General features: G+C 47.4%; 1 pseudogene, besides 1 other annotated feature; it reads right to left on the reverse strand.

The window, feature by feature from the left end:
* Nucleotides 5,915-6,014: an enhancer, noted in NCBI's record as "active region_15290". NCBI's record gives its function as "activates an Ori minimal core promoter by ATAC-STARR-seq in GM12878 lymphoblastoid cells {active_cell/tissue: GM12878}" and the evidence as "EXISTENCE:reporter gene assay evidence [ECO:0000049][PMID:35858748]".
* RNU4-73P (RNA, U4 small nuclear 73, pseudogene) lies at nucleotides 8,072-8,212 on the reverse strand (annotated as a pseudogene).

The following is a 13,245-nucleotide window of genomic DNA, read 5'->3' on the forward strand; positions in this document are numbered from 1 at the left end:
GTCCATTTTGTTTGAATTTATTTTTATTTATTTATTTCTAAAATTTTGATCTTTTATTCAGCTCATACCTATGGTTGATGTGTTTAAAGAAATAAAAATAAATAAATAATTACCAAAAAATGTTAAAAATAACCAAATAGAACTTCTAGAAATAAAAAACATAAGAATTGAAGTTAGAAACTCAACAGAAATCAGCAGTTAGATTCAGGTAACGAGAAAATTTATGAACAGGAGAATAGATCTGAGCTCTATAGAGTAGCACTAGAGATATAATGTAGCCCAGAGGAGAAAAATGAAAGGAAAAGGTATGAAAAGGAAAGTAAGATTTGAGTGATGGAGCCGGCAGGTCTAATACACATTTAATAGGAGTTCCAGGAAAGAATAGAGGGAAGGCAAGAGAAGCAAATAAACAATGGGCTGAGAACTTTTCCAGGAGTAATGAAAGACACAAATCCTTAGATCCAATAATGAAGATAAATAAAAATAAATACACTCTTGGACATATCATCGCAAAGTTTCAGGATGTCAAAGGCAAGATCTTCAAAGCAAGCAGATTACCTTCGAAGAAGTAATGATTAGATGGAAAGCTGACATGTCAGTGGCAACAGTGGAAGCCAGAAGACAACAAAATACATCTTAAAGTGCAGAGAGAAAATAACTGCCAGCCTAGAAATTATGCCCAGTGAACCTAGCTTTTGAGAAAGCAGGAAAATAATTACATTTCAGTGAATAAAGGAAATAGTTCATTACGGTTCTCATTAAAAGGACTTCTAAACTAGGCATATACTTTAAGAGAGGGAAAATGATCCCAGAAAGAAGATCTGAGATACAAGCAGAAGTGAAAAACAAGGAAAATGATAAACTTTTGGGTAAATATAAACAAATATTGACTAAAAATCATAATTATAATACCAGGCAGGGCATGGTGGCTCATGCCTGTAATCCCAGCACTTTGGGAGGCCAAGGTGGGTGGATCACTTGAGCCCAGGAGTTTGAGACCAGCCTGGGCAACATGGCAAAATCCCGTCTCTACAAAAAATACAAAAATTAGCCAGGCATGGTGTTGCACACCTGTAGCGCCAGCTACTCAAGAGGCTGAGATGGAAGGATTGCGTGAGCCTGAGGTTGCAGTGAGCAATGATTGCGCCACTGCATTCCAACCTGGGAGACAGAATGAGACCCTCTCTCAAAATAATAATAATTATTATTATTATAGTATCCAATGTGTGAAGTTTTAAAAACTAAAAACATAGGCCTAATATACTGCTCAGCAATAGTATTTAGGCTGAATAAGAAAATTCTAACCATTCTGAGGTTATTTTGTTGTTTGGGAAGATGATAAAAATGTTGAATAATTTCATTTCATTTCATTAATTAATTTATTATTATTTTTTGAGATGGAGCCTTGTGCTGTCTCCCAGGCTGGAGTGCAGTGGCATGATCTCAGCTCACTGCAACCTCCGCCTCCCAGGTTCAAGCGATCCTCCTACCTCAGCCTCTGGAGTAGCTGGGATTACAGGCGTGCACCACCACACCTGGCTGATTTTTGTATTTTTGGGAGAGACGGGGTTTCGCCATGTTACTGAGGCTGGTCTGGAACTCCTGACCCCAGGTGATCCACTCACCTCACCCCCGCAAAGTGCTGGGATTACAGGCATGAGCCACTGTGCCTAGCCGATTAATTTTAGATTCTATTTCAGAAATTATGCATATCAAAATATCTAGATAAGTACCAAAAGGGTAATAATTGGTGTGTAAACTTCCAAACCAGAAGGGGAAAAAATGGAATAAGAAAATCAATCAATACAATACAAAAGAAGGTAAGAAAGAGGGAAAAAACCCAACAGAATAAGTGGGATGATTAGAAAGCACAAAATAAGATGGTAGGAATGATTCAAATATGTCAATTATTTCCCAATAAATGTAAACAGACTAAATTATCTGGATAAAAGACAAAGATCATTGGAATGGCTGAAAAAATGGTGGTTAGAAGAGATTTATTAACAACATAAGAACAAAGTCAAAAGTAAAAGGATGTTTAAAGATGTAAGTAAAATATTAACCGAAAGAAATGATAAGAATATTTATTTAAAAATGAGAAAACAGACAATATGACCTTTATCACTATTTCTATTTTGGATTTCATGGAGTCTTAGTATAATAAAAATATTAAAATAAAACATGTAAACACTAGAAAGAAAAAAATTGCCATTATTCACAAATTACATAATTGTCTTCAAAGAAAATTCAAAATAAACTACAAACCTACTCACATGGTAAAAATTTAAATAAGTATTGAGTGAAAATTAACTTCCCTCTTATCCTGGTCACCAGCTCTCCTTCCCCGCAGCAACTACTGTTACTGATTTTCTAGAATACCCTTTCAAATATATTCTATCTATCTTCAGACTTAATGATTATACTCCAAGACCCCCTGTGTGATTCTTTTACAATCACACCCCCAGCAGCATTCTCAAAGGGCTTGTCTCCCATATTGTGTGTCTGGGGGAGCTCCATTCAATGTGTTGGCAGTTTCACTGAGCACCCACTATGTACCAGGTACTGTGCTGGGGACTAAAAGATGAAGAAAACATTATCCTTCCCTGAAGGTTCTCAGGATCTAGTGAGGACAGAGACAGGGAACCAACTAAGCCTCATATGGCAGATCAAATGATAGATGTCAGGTGTCATAATGGAGTTAGAGAGAGGTAAAGAAAGCCTGGGGAAGCCCAGACGAAACAGGAATGGACTTGGCATCAAAATAGGACTACAGAGGAGGAACTTGAAGAACAAGTAGGGTTTTCAGGTGTAAAGGAGGTGGGGAAAAGCATTGTAAGCTAAGGGAATAACACGATGAAGTGCAGAGACACAGAAGAGCTTAGCATGTTTGCCAAAGTGGGGAAGTGGTCTGATGGGGCTTTGTGGTTTGGGGCAGGGTGGTGCTGGAATGGAGAGGCCAAAACAAGCCAGATGGTAAAGAACCTCAAATGTTAGGCCAAGGGTTTATGACTCAGGCACAGGCAAGGGGGAGAGAAGAGAGGGGTGATGTGAGCAGGTTCATGTTTCCAGAAGCTCACTCTGCCTTGTTTAGGGGACCCATGTCCCTGTCCATTCCCTCTTCCTAGACCTCCCCTCCACCAAGGCGGTCTTTGTTTTCTGGGTGCTCTGGGAAGAAGTGTGGGATGGATTTGCTCTAATACTGAACAGTTCTCTGCAACTTCAGAAATACCTATCATCAAGCTTGAGGGGCAAAACTGCAGAAGTAGTTTAGGGGAAGAAGCCTGACCCCTAAATAGGGGATGTTGTATCATAATTTTATCCCACATGACTGTCATATTTCAAGGCCTGGGGCAAATGGCACCTCTTCCAAGAAACTACAATGTCACTATTATCTTTTCTGGAGAAACTTTCTTTAACTTCCTTATGCTCATCTAGCACGTCCCCTACTGACTCTGTTGGAACACCTGCTGGGCCTGCCCTTGTATGAATTTAGTTGGATTATATGGATCCATTAAGCAACTGCAGAGGTCCACCCATGCCAGGACCTGCACCAACTCTGAGGATGTAGAAATGAAAACATTGAGTCCTTGTCTTCAAGGAAGGAAGCTCACCCCAGAGATCACCTGGAGATCTTTATCTGCACAGTAAGACATTTGTTCCTGTGCAGCTCTGCCTCTCACCTTCCTGTAACTTGTCCCATCTAGCTCTGAAAGAGAATCAATTACTAACCATTGTCTGAGCATTGGGCCTAGTCATTTCCCCACTCCCCTCTCTGTTATGAAGAGGGCATTAAGCCTCAACCATCTGGTCCCTCTTCGAGTTCATGTTTTGTAAACACTCTTGCACATCTGTGCACATAATACCTTTGTTATGATTTTCTCTTGTTAACATGCTTTTTGTTGTAGGGGTGTTGGCTGTGACCCTTTATGATGGGGAGAAAGGGGATCACCCCTTTCTGTCCCTACCTTTTCAAGGTTTATGTACATTCTAGCATGTGTCAGAATTCCATGCCTTTTTATGGCTGAATGATATTCCATTATGTGAATATGCCACGTTTCGTGTATCCATTCATCTGTTGAAGGACATTTGGGTTGTTTTGCTATGGTCAATAATGCTGCTATGAACGTGAGTGTACAAGTACCTGTGTGGGTCCCTAATTTTCATTCTTTTGGGTAGATACTTGGGAGTGGAATTGCTGGGTCACATAGCAGTTACTGTGTTGAACTGTGTGAGGAGATTCCTCCCTCTCAGCAGCTCTTATGCTCACCTTCCTTTCTGTGTCTACTGCTGCCTTCTGCCTTCAGAAGCCCCCTCCTTCTTTCTGCACCTGGGCTAAGACAGCAGCTTCCTATTCGGTGTCTGTTTCCCACATCCACCTCTAGAGCTCATCCCAAAGAGTGATGGTGCTGTGGACCAAATTGTCTCCCAAATGCACGCATTGAAGATCCTACCCAGGACTGACTGTATTTGGAGATAGGGCCTTTATGGAGGTAACTAATGTTAATGGCGGTTATAAGTGTGACCTCAGTTACCTAATCCAATAGGACTGGTTTGGAAATAGATTTCTGTTGCCTAAGCTCCCAGCCTGTGGTGTTGTATTATGGCAGCCTGAGCAGATGAATGCAGATGGTGAGCAGCTCTTCCCCTGAGCCACACTGCCGAGGCTGCCCTGCTCAGAAACCTTTGGTGTTGCTGCCCTGTAAGACGGAATCCTAACGCTTCATCATTCGAGGCCGGCCCGTTCTCAGCCTTGCCTGCACTTCCGGGACTGTCTCTCCTTGCTCTTCCATCCCCAGGCTCTTCTTCAGCTGAGCCAGTGTATTGGCTCTTTCTGGAATAGGTTTTGTGCATTTGGCCTCTGTCCAAATGTCCCACAACTCCCCCTAGTGCCCTACTCACCCTAGTACCCCCCACTTCCTCTAGTACCCCCTACTCCCCCTAGTGCCCTACTCCCTCTAGTACTCCTCACTCCCCCAGTAACCCCTCACTTCCTCTAGTACCCCTGGCTCCCCCACTATCCCCCACTCCCCCTAGTACCCCCTACTCCCTCTAGTACCCCCACTCGTCCTAGTAACCCCCACTCCTTCTAGTGCCCCCTACTCCCCCAGTACCTCCCACTCCCCCAGTGCCCCCCACTCCTCCTAGTACCCCCATTCCCTCTAGTACCCCTGACTCCCCCTAGTACCTCCCACTCCCCCTAGTGCCCCCCACTTCCTCTGGTACTCCCCACTCCTCCTAGTGCCCCCCACTTCCACTCCCCCAGTCCCCACCAGGCACTTTGGAATGCCTTCTCCTGCTTTCTGCTTATTCCCCTCCTGCAGAAGCTCCCCTTGGGGATGGGGTGCAGGAGTCCAGTGATGTCCACTCGAGAAGCTCCTTGGGACATTTGCATTAGTACTATCTCTGTGCACATACAGTGGCGCACACAGTTGTTCAGCCCAGAAACTTGTGAACACACAGCTACTACTGACCAAGCACCTATTCCATGAGGACTTTAAGAGGATACTTTGAGATATAAATAACAGAAAAAGTCAAAATGGCTTGCAATAGTCATAGCTGACACTTACATGACACTTACCATGTGCCAGACGCGATTTGAATACTTTCTACACATTAACCCCTTAAATCCTCACAATGATCTCATAAACCAGATACGGTTATTATCACCATCCCCATTTCACAGATGAGGAAACTGAGAAGAGAGAGAAAATAAACAAGCCAAAAGTCCTCAGTAGTAGTGGTGGTGGATTGGGCAGTCAAGCTCTAGAGCCTTTGCCCCTGACCCCCACTGTCCCGTGTCTCTGACCTTGGGACAGCATTCTCTCACTTAATGAGATGTCTCAAGTTGGGGACATCCCAAGGGAAATTAATTCAACCGCTCAAGGCTGTCACCAAGGACTTGGCTTCTTTTCATCTCGACACTCTGCCATCGTTAGCCTCTTGGCTTTTATGTTGGGTATTATCCCTTTATGTCACAATATGGCTGCAGCAGTTCTAAGTATCATGTTCTCACCCAACCACACCCAAAGGTCAGAAAGAGAGAAAGCCCCTTCTTTATAGCTCTTTTTTTAAGAGTAAGGGAAACTTTCCCCAAATTCATCCAGACACTTCCTCTCGTGTCTTGTTAGTCAGAATGAAGTTACACGCCCGTTCATAAACTAATCACTGGGTCACCGTGACTGGCTTAGACCAATCAAGACACTGTGCTAGGCTCCCAGGGAGTCCTGCTTCTCCTGAAGCATGTGGCTGCCAGAAACCCTGAATAAAACAGGCCTCTGGCTTGCTGGTGAGGGAGAGGAACTGGAAGGGTTGCGGGCCTGTCACACAGCATCGCTATTTCTGGCTCCCACATCAGCCTTGTGAGATCAGGACTTTTATCGTTTTATGAATAAGGAAACCAAGACTCAGAGACAATGAGGTGCTTGGCCAAGGTCAGCGGCTGGTGAGTGACAGAGTCTGCATGCTCAGCCCATCCCTAGGAGTCTGGCAAGGCTGGAAATTGGTCTTTCTTTTCCCATCCTAGATGGATTGCGTTGGAAAGATTCAGGCTCCTGTCAGCTGGCTCTTGCTGTCCCTTCCTGACAGCTGCGACTCTGAGAACAGTTTAATTTCAGAAACCCTCACACGGTGGCTCCTCTCCCTGCCAGGCATCAGGAGGCCCCAGAGGAGCAGCAGAGGCAAGACTCGCTGTCCAGACTCCCTTCTGAGGAGACTGCGGTCAGGGAGCCCAGGCTGACCCTCGTGTTCTCATGCCTCGGTCCTGTTGATAAGAGGGAAGTCTGTGCTGGGTTCCTATCCACAAAGCCCTTGCGGGGAATGGGTCCCACACGCCGCTTCTGCAGACCCAGCTCATCCTGTTTCCGGTTTCTATTTTGTTTTTTCTTTTTTTTTTTTTTGATACGGAGTCTCGCTCTGTCGTGATCCGCCCGCCTCGGCCTCCCAAAGTGCTGGGATTACAGGCGTGCGCTACCGCGCCCGGCCCTGTTTCTGGTTTCCAATTCTCTTAGGATGTCAGTGCCTTTGATCCTCTGAGCCCCCGGAAGGGCTCAGCCCTCTCACATCTGCCTTCCTCCTAGAGGTGTGACGCCTGCCCTTCCGCCAGGGCGAGGCAGGGGAGTGACTTGGCGCCCGAGTCCCGTTTCCCGTCCCCTCTCCGTTGCCTGTGCTCAGAGCCAGGGACTCTGCTATTTGTAGGCCCCGCGGGCTCTGTCTGGGGTCTTTCCCCAGGGGAGGGTGTGCGTCCGGGAAGGAGAGGCAGCCTGGAGTTCCTTCTGGATACCGGCCAGGCCTGCGCTATTTGCCTGGAGAGGCCATCGGCATCACTGAGAAGGTCCCTGGAACTCGCTGCTCAGACACATATGTGGCAGCCAGTCAGGAGCTACGTTCTTCTTTGCTGGAAACAAGCAAGGATAGACTGTGATTTTCCTCTCCCTCTGTTGTGTATTTTTCACTCCTGTCTCTCCATCAACCCACCCACCCATCCATCCATTCATCCACTCATCCATCCACCCACCCACCCACCCATCCATCCATCCATCCATCCATCTACCCATCCACCCACCCATCCATCCACCCACCCATCCATCCATCCTACCATCCATCCACTCATCCATCCACCCACCCACCCACCCATCCATCCACCCACCCATCCATCCATCCATCTACCCACCCACCCACCCATCCATTCACCCACCCATCCACCCATCCATCCACCCATCCATCCACCCATCCACCCACCCATCCACCCATCTATTCACCCATCCACCCACCCACCCACCCACCCACCCACCCATCCACCCATCTATCCATCCACCCACCTGTCACATAGTGTGGCAAATACAACAACGACTCACATGTGGTTCCTGCCCCTACACCCTCAACACTCATACCCTAGTGGGGACTCCTCCAACCAACGAATGCAGAAGGTTTTAGCTCCCTGATGGGCATTTGTATTTGAAGTTGGGGGGTGGGGGGCTGCACAAATGTGCACAACTTAATAGAGGTCCTTCTGGCATTGTGCCAAAGTGAAGCTGAGGAGGAGTTAAATTTTTATGTTTTTTTGGTTGTTCAGCCTCTGTAGAGAGTCTCAAAAATTCTCGATGCCAATTATATTTCAAGTTGTCATGACAAGCTATAGGGAAAAGTTTTCAATTAGCAATAATCATGTCTCAGGCAAACCTCATTGGCTATGGTACCGCCACTGCAGAAATCTGAGGAGTTATTTTTAAGCAAGGGCTCTGCCTTCCCAGCGTGTCTTAAATTTCTCCAGGGTGAGTCAGATCACCCCTGTTCTTGGGGACCTCTTACACCAGCTACTGGTCGCCAGGTCTAGGGGAGGTTAGTGACCTCAGCCCTGGAAGGGGAGCCTCAAAGTCACTGGTGAGCCTCAAAAGAGGCTGGCAGGGCTGCCTGCCCAGACCCATTTGCTACAGTTATAATGGGGAGTGTCCTTGGGTAATGAACTGCTATGTAGAGCTCCTGATTAAGCACTAATTAATTATTAATGCACTGTGTCATAATTTTGCCTGGCCCTTTCTATGCCAAAGAATTGTATCCCACAATTCCATTTGTGATCCTGCATTTTCTGATTTGTGGCCATGGTGGCCCCTTTTCAAGCTCACCTGTCTCTGCAGTGGCCAGATGGATCACTGAGGGTACATGCACCACGAGGTCATTGTCCACTGGTAGTAGGTGGCATGGATGACGACTCATGGGTGTAACGTGTGAACAACAACAGATACACCGGCTGGAGTCAGCCACACTTGGAATTCTGGCTGTAATGCTACTGTGGTTTGGATATTTGTCTCCCGAAACCTCATGTTGAAATTTGATCCCCGATACTGGAGGTGGGGGCCTATGGGAGGTGTTTGGGTCATGGGGACAAATCCCTCATGAAGGTCTTGGTACTGTCCTTGTCCTTGTTATAATGAGTAGGTTCTTGGTCTATTAGTTCCCTCAAAGGCTGGTTGTTTAAAGAGCCTGGAACCTCCTCCTCCTCTCTCTGGCTTTCCCTCTCCCCATGTGATTCTTACACATACCGGCTTCCCTTTGCCTTCTGCCATGAGTGGAAGCAGCCTGAAGCCCTCACCAGAGGCAGATGCTGGCACCATGCTTGTTGTACAGTCTGCAGAACCATGAGCCAAAGAAACCTCTTTTCTTTATAAGTTACCCAGGCTCAGGTATATCCTTTATGGCAATGCAAATGGACTAAGGCAAATGTACTCACCTTGGTGTTACCTCAATCATGTTACTTAACCCTTTGAGCCCTTCTCATCCATACAGGAAGGAGAAGAGTAGCACCTGCCTCACGTGTTTAACCAGAAAGAGGACCTCAGGCTCCAGTGATGGATCGGGACATGTCTTGTCCTGAGGTTTCCTTTGCTGTACTTCACTTGGGGCCATCTCAGGAACCAGTGTAAGGTCACTGGAGATGCCACTTGGAGGAGGCACTCAGCTGTGCCTCTGGCCTGCACCTGTGCTTGGTTTATGGGTGGGGTCAGTTGTTGGGACTATTTTAGTTACAGGTTCCAGAAATCCATCTTCAAACTGCAAAGGGGAATTCTTGTAAGGATTTGGGGGTGTCTCCCAGAATCTGAGGGTAAGAACTGAGCTGGCTTTCAGGAGCAATGGGAACTCATGGTTCGGCTCCACCTGAGTCTCATCCTGGCTTCTCTTTGTGAATCTGCATTTTTCTTTTCCTGGAGATGAGATTTTCCTCCTTCTCTGTCCATGTGGCATGACATGTAGTCACCACTGCTCCCAAAATTTAGCTTCTCGTAATCCCAACGCTTTGGGAGGCTGAGGCAGGTGGATCACCTGACTTCAGGAGTTCAAGAGCAGCCTGGCCAACATGGTGAAACGCTGTCTCTACTAAAAATACAAAAAATTAGCCGGGCATGGTGGCAGGCGCCTGTAGTCCCAGCTACTCGGGAGGCTGAGGCAGGGGAATCACTTGAACCCAGGAAGTGGAGGTTGCAGTGAGCCGAGATCTCACCACTGCACTCCAGCCTGGGTGACAAGAGCGAAACTCTGTCTCAAAAAAAAAAAAAAAAAAATGCAGCTTCTCCATTCAAGTTATTAGTTAAGACTGAACTGACATGTCTTGGTCCTAAGTTCCAGATGTCCAGCTGGGGCCAGGGGTCTGCAGCCACACGTGGGGTCTGAGAGAGCTGGCAGCTTTGCTGGCAACATGTGAACAGTGAGAAAGCCAGGACAGCAGTCCTCAATGAGGCCAAGTGGTGCTGGGACGAGCGGGGTCCCAGGAAGAGGGGCTGTGGAAACTGCTCTACCGCCCCTGCCTGGGGCTGCTCACTGAGAGGACACACTTTCTTGAGTGTCACCATTCCTCCATGATGGCTTCCAAGAGGCTGAGTGAGCATGCGCTTAGGGCACCAGCAAGGCCAGCAACAACAGTGAAAACATTTTTTTTCCTGACAAAAATTGTTTGGGTTTTTTTGAGACGGAGTTCTGTCACCCAGACTGGAGTTCATTTGCTAGATCCCGGCTCACTGCATCCTCCGCCTCCTGGGTTCAAGGGATTGTCCTGTCTCAGCCTCCCGAGTAGCTGGGACTACAGGTGCGCACCACCACGCCCAGCTAATTTTTGTATTTTTAGTAGAGACAGGGTTTTGCCATGTTGCCCCAGCTAGTCTCAAACTCCTGGCCTCAAGTGATCCTCCTGCCTCGGCCTCCCAAATGCTGCAATTACAGGCATGAGCCACCACACCTGACCAAAAATTGTTTTTAAAAATCAAATTCATCATAGGAAAAAAATTAGAAGCCTTCTGGACTTTTCTTACACTTCTTATAAAGTTGTTGACTATTTTTATCTTGAATGATATTGTTGGGTGCATTGGATTGCATAGCGTCCCCCCAGAATTCATGTTCTTCATGAACCTCAGAGTGTGACCTTATTTGGAAATAGGGTCATTGCAGATGTGATTAGTGAAGATGGAGTCATACTGGAGTAAGGCAGACCCTAACTCCAAAAAAGATTGATGTCATATGAAGAGGAGAAGAGACAGAGACACCACACACCAGGGAGAGAGCCACACAGGGAGGCAGAGACTGAAGTGAGGCACCTGCAAACCAGGGAATGCCAGCGGCTGCTGATGACACCAGAAGCTACAAAAGTCAGGAAGGGTCCTCCCCTAGAGCCTTCAGCAGGATCACAGCCCCGTTGACATTCCTATGTCAGATTTCTAGCCTCCAGTGTGTGAGGGGACACGTTTGTGCTGTTCTAAGCCATTCAGTTTGTGGTTCCTCCTCACAGCAGCCACAGGGAATGTCCACTGGGTTGGGGAGTTTTAGGCTTTTCAATACTTGCAGCATAAAACGCCCCAAATTCTTAGTTTATTCCTGCCTAGAGATGAACAGCACAGGCTCCAGAGTTGTCTGTGTCTGAATGAAAACCTTAGCTTTGCTATTTATTAGTTATATTCCCTTGGGCAGGTAACGTAGCCTCTCTGTGCCTCAGTTTCCATGTCGGTAGAATGAGGTGAATAATCCTACCCAGGTAATGGAGGTGTAAATCAGCTACTGCATGCAAAGAGCTTGACAAGGCACCTGGCATGTGACAAGGCCTCAGTGTAAAACAGTTGTTCTCATCACATCCCTCAGCAGGTCGGACGATGGTGGGGGTGGCCAGTCCAGGGGCTGTGGGCTCCCTTTCTGGGTGGGCAGGCTGAGAGGGGTCATCTGCAGGGATCCGGCTTTGTTGAGGGTTGCCTGGGAACCATGAACTTCCTGCAGGAAGAACTCTTCTCCTGGGGCAGGCTGCTGTAGGAGGGGTCCTCTGGCACCGGGACAGGAACTGAAGCCGGTCTTGATCTGCTCAGGGACTCAGCAGAGATGCAGCCCCAAGCCACCCGGCTACTGGTCTAGTGGGGGAGGTGTTCACCACCAGGTCCTTTGCCCCATGATTCTCTGCCCGACGGAGGATTGGCCCCAGTCCAAGCCTTGCCCTGTACTTATGACCATTTTAAACACATCTGCAGATGCTGTCATATTCAATAAAATATATCCTTGGAAAGGCAATGTGAAATTTATAGTGGCTTTTCATTCTTGCACATTTTCTCAATTACGGATACTAAAAGCCTAATCATGATCATGTGAGGCTTTGTAATAAAATGGTTTCATAAAATGTTAAGAAAGTGTCTGAAGAATGTTGGAAGCCTGTCCCACTGGAGGGTGACCCCTCTGCAATCCCGGCAGGAGGCTGTGCAAGCTGGAGTCCACACCTGCCACAGGAGCTCCCGCCTCCAGGGGAGCCTGTCTACAGGCAGCTCTGATTTTTGGAAAGCCGACAGCTATGCTGCCTGTGACCCTGCCTGCGACCCTGCCTTCCTGTCACCGCACCTCACAGTCCTGTTATCCCTCCTGGAGCACCTGAGAACAAAGGTCTGTCTTTTCCCCACCACAGTCCTCCCCATCCCCCTCTTCTGCCGACTTCTATCTTCAAGGTCACTCCCTGGGCCACCTCAGTGGGGCCTTTAGCCCAGCTCAGCCCCTTCTGCAGGCAGCACCATTGGCGCTGGTGGCTGCCCTGACTCTTGGTCCCCTGTGAGTGTCCTGTCTATTTTGCAGCAGGAGGGGAAAGGGTCCAAGGAGAAAGCCAACAGGTGTCCTCATGAATCCAGAAATGTCTCTCCCTTCCCACCACCTTAGAGAAGTGGTGCCTCCCCCTGTTACCGCCATCCCCTTTCCTCCCCACACCCACTGTGTGAAGAAGCACAGTGCCATGGAAAGGCCTAGAACTGGGAATCAGGGCACATTGGGTGTGCATTCCTTTTGGACCACTCACTAGCTTTGCAACCCTGGCAACTTCCTTGTCCTCTGACTTCAGTTTCTTCATCCAAAAATGAGATTGGCAATTTCACCTCCCAGGGCTTTTATAAGGATTAGGTGCATGGTACTTAGTAGGTGCTTTGTAAATATTAGATAAGCCTTGATCTCCTGGGCTCAAGCAATCCTCCCACCTCAGCCTCCAGAGTAGCTGGGACTATAGCTGCACACCATCACACCCACCTAATTTAAAAATTTTTTTATAGTGACAGAGTCTCGTTCAAGTGATCCTGCCACCTTGGCCTTCCAAAGTGTTGAGATTACAGGCATGAGCCGAAATTCTTGAACAGGGGCCACAGGATCATATTACAACTTCATAATATTTACCTGGAGAGAATTAAGCTGATAAGTGAATATAACAGGTGTGAATTTCATCTTTTCCCTGGCCAGAGCACCTGAAGA

The sequence above is a fragment of the Homo sapiens genome, chromosome 2 (assembly GCF_000001405.40).
Source record: "Homo sapiens chromosome 2, GRCh38.p14 Primary Assembly".
Lineage (NCBI taxonomy): Eukaryota > Metazoa > Chordata > Mammalia > Primates > Hominidae > Homo > Homo sapiens.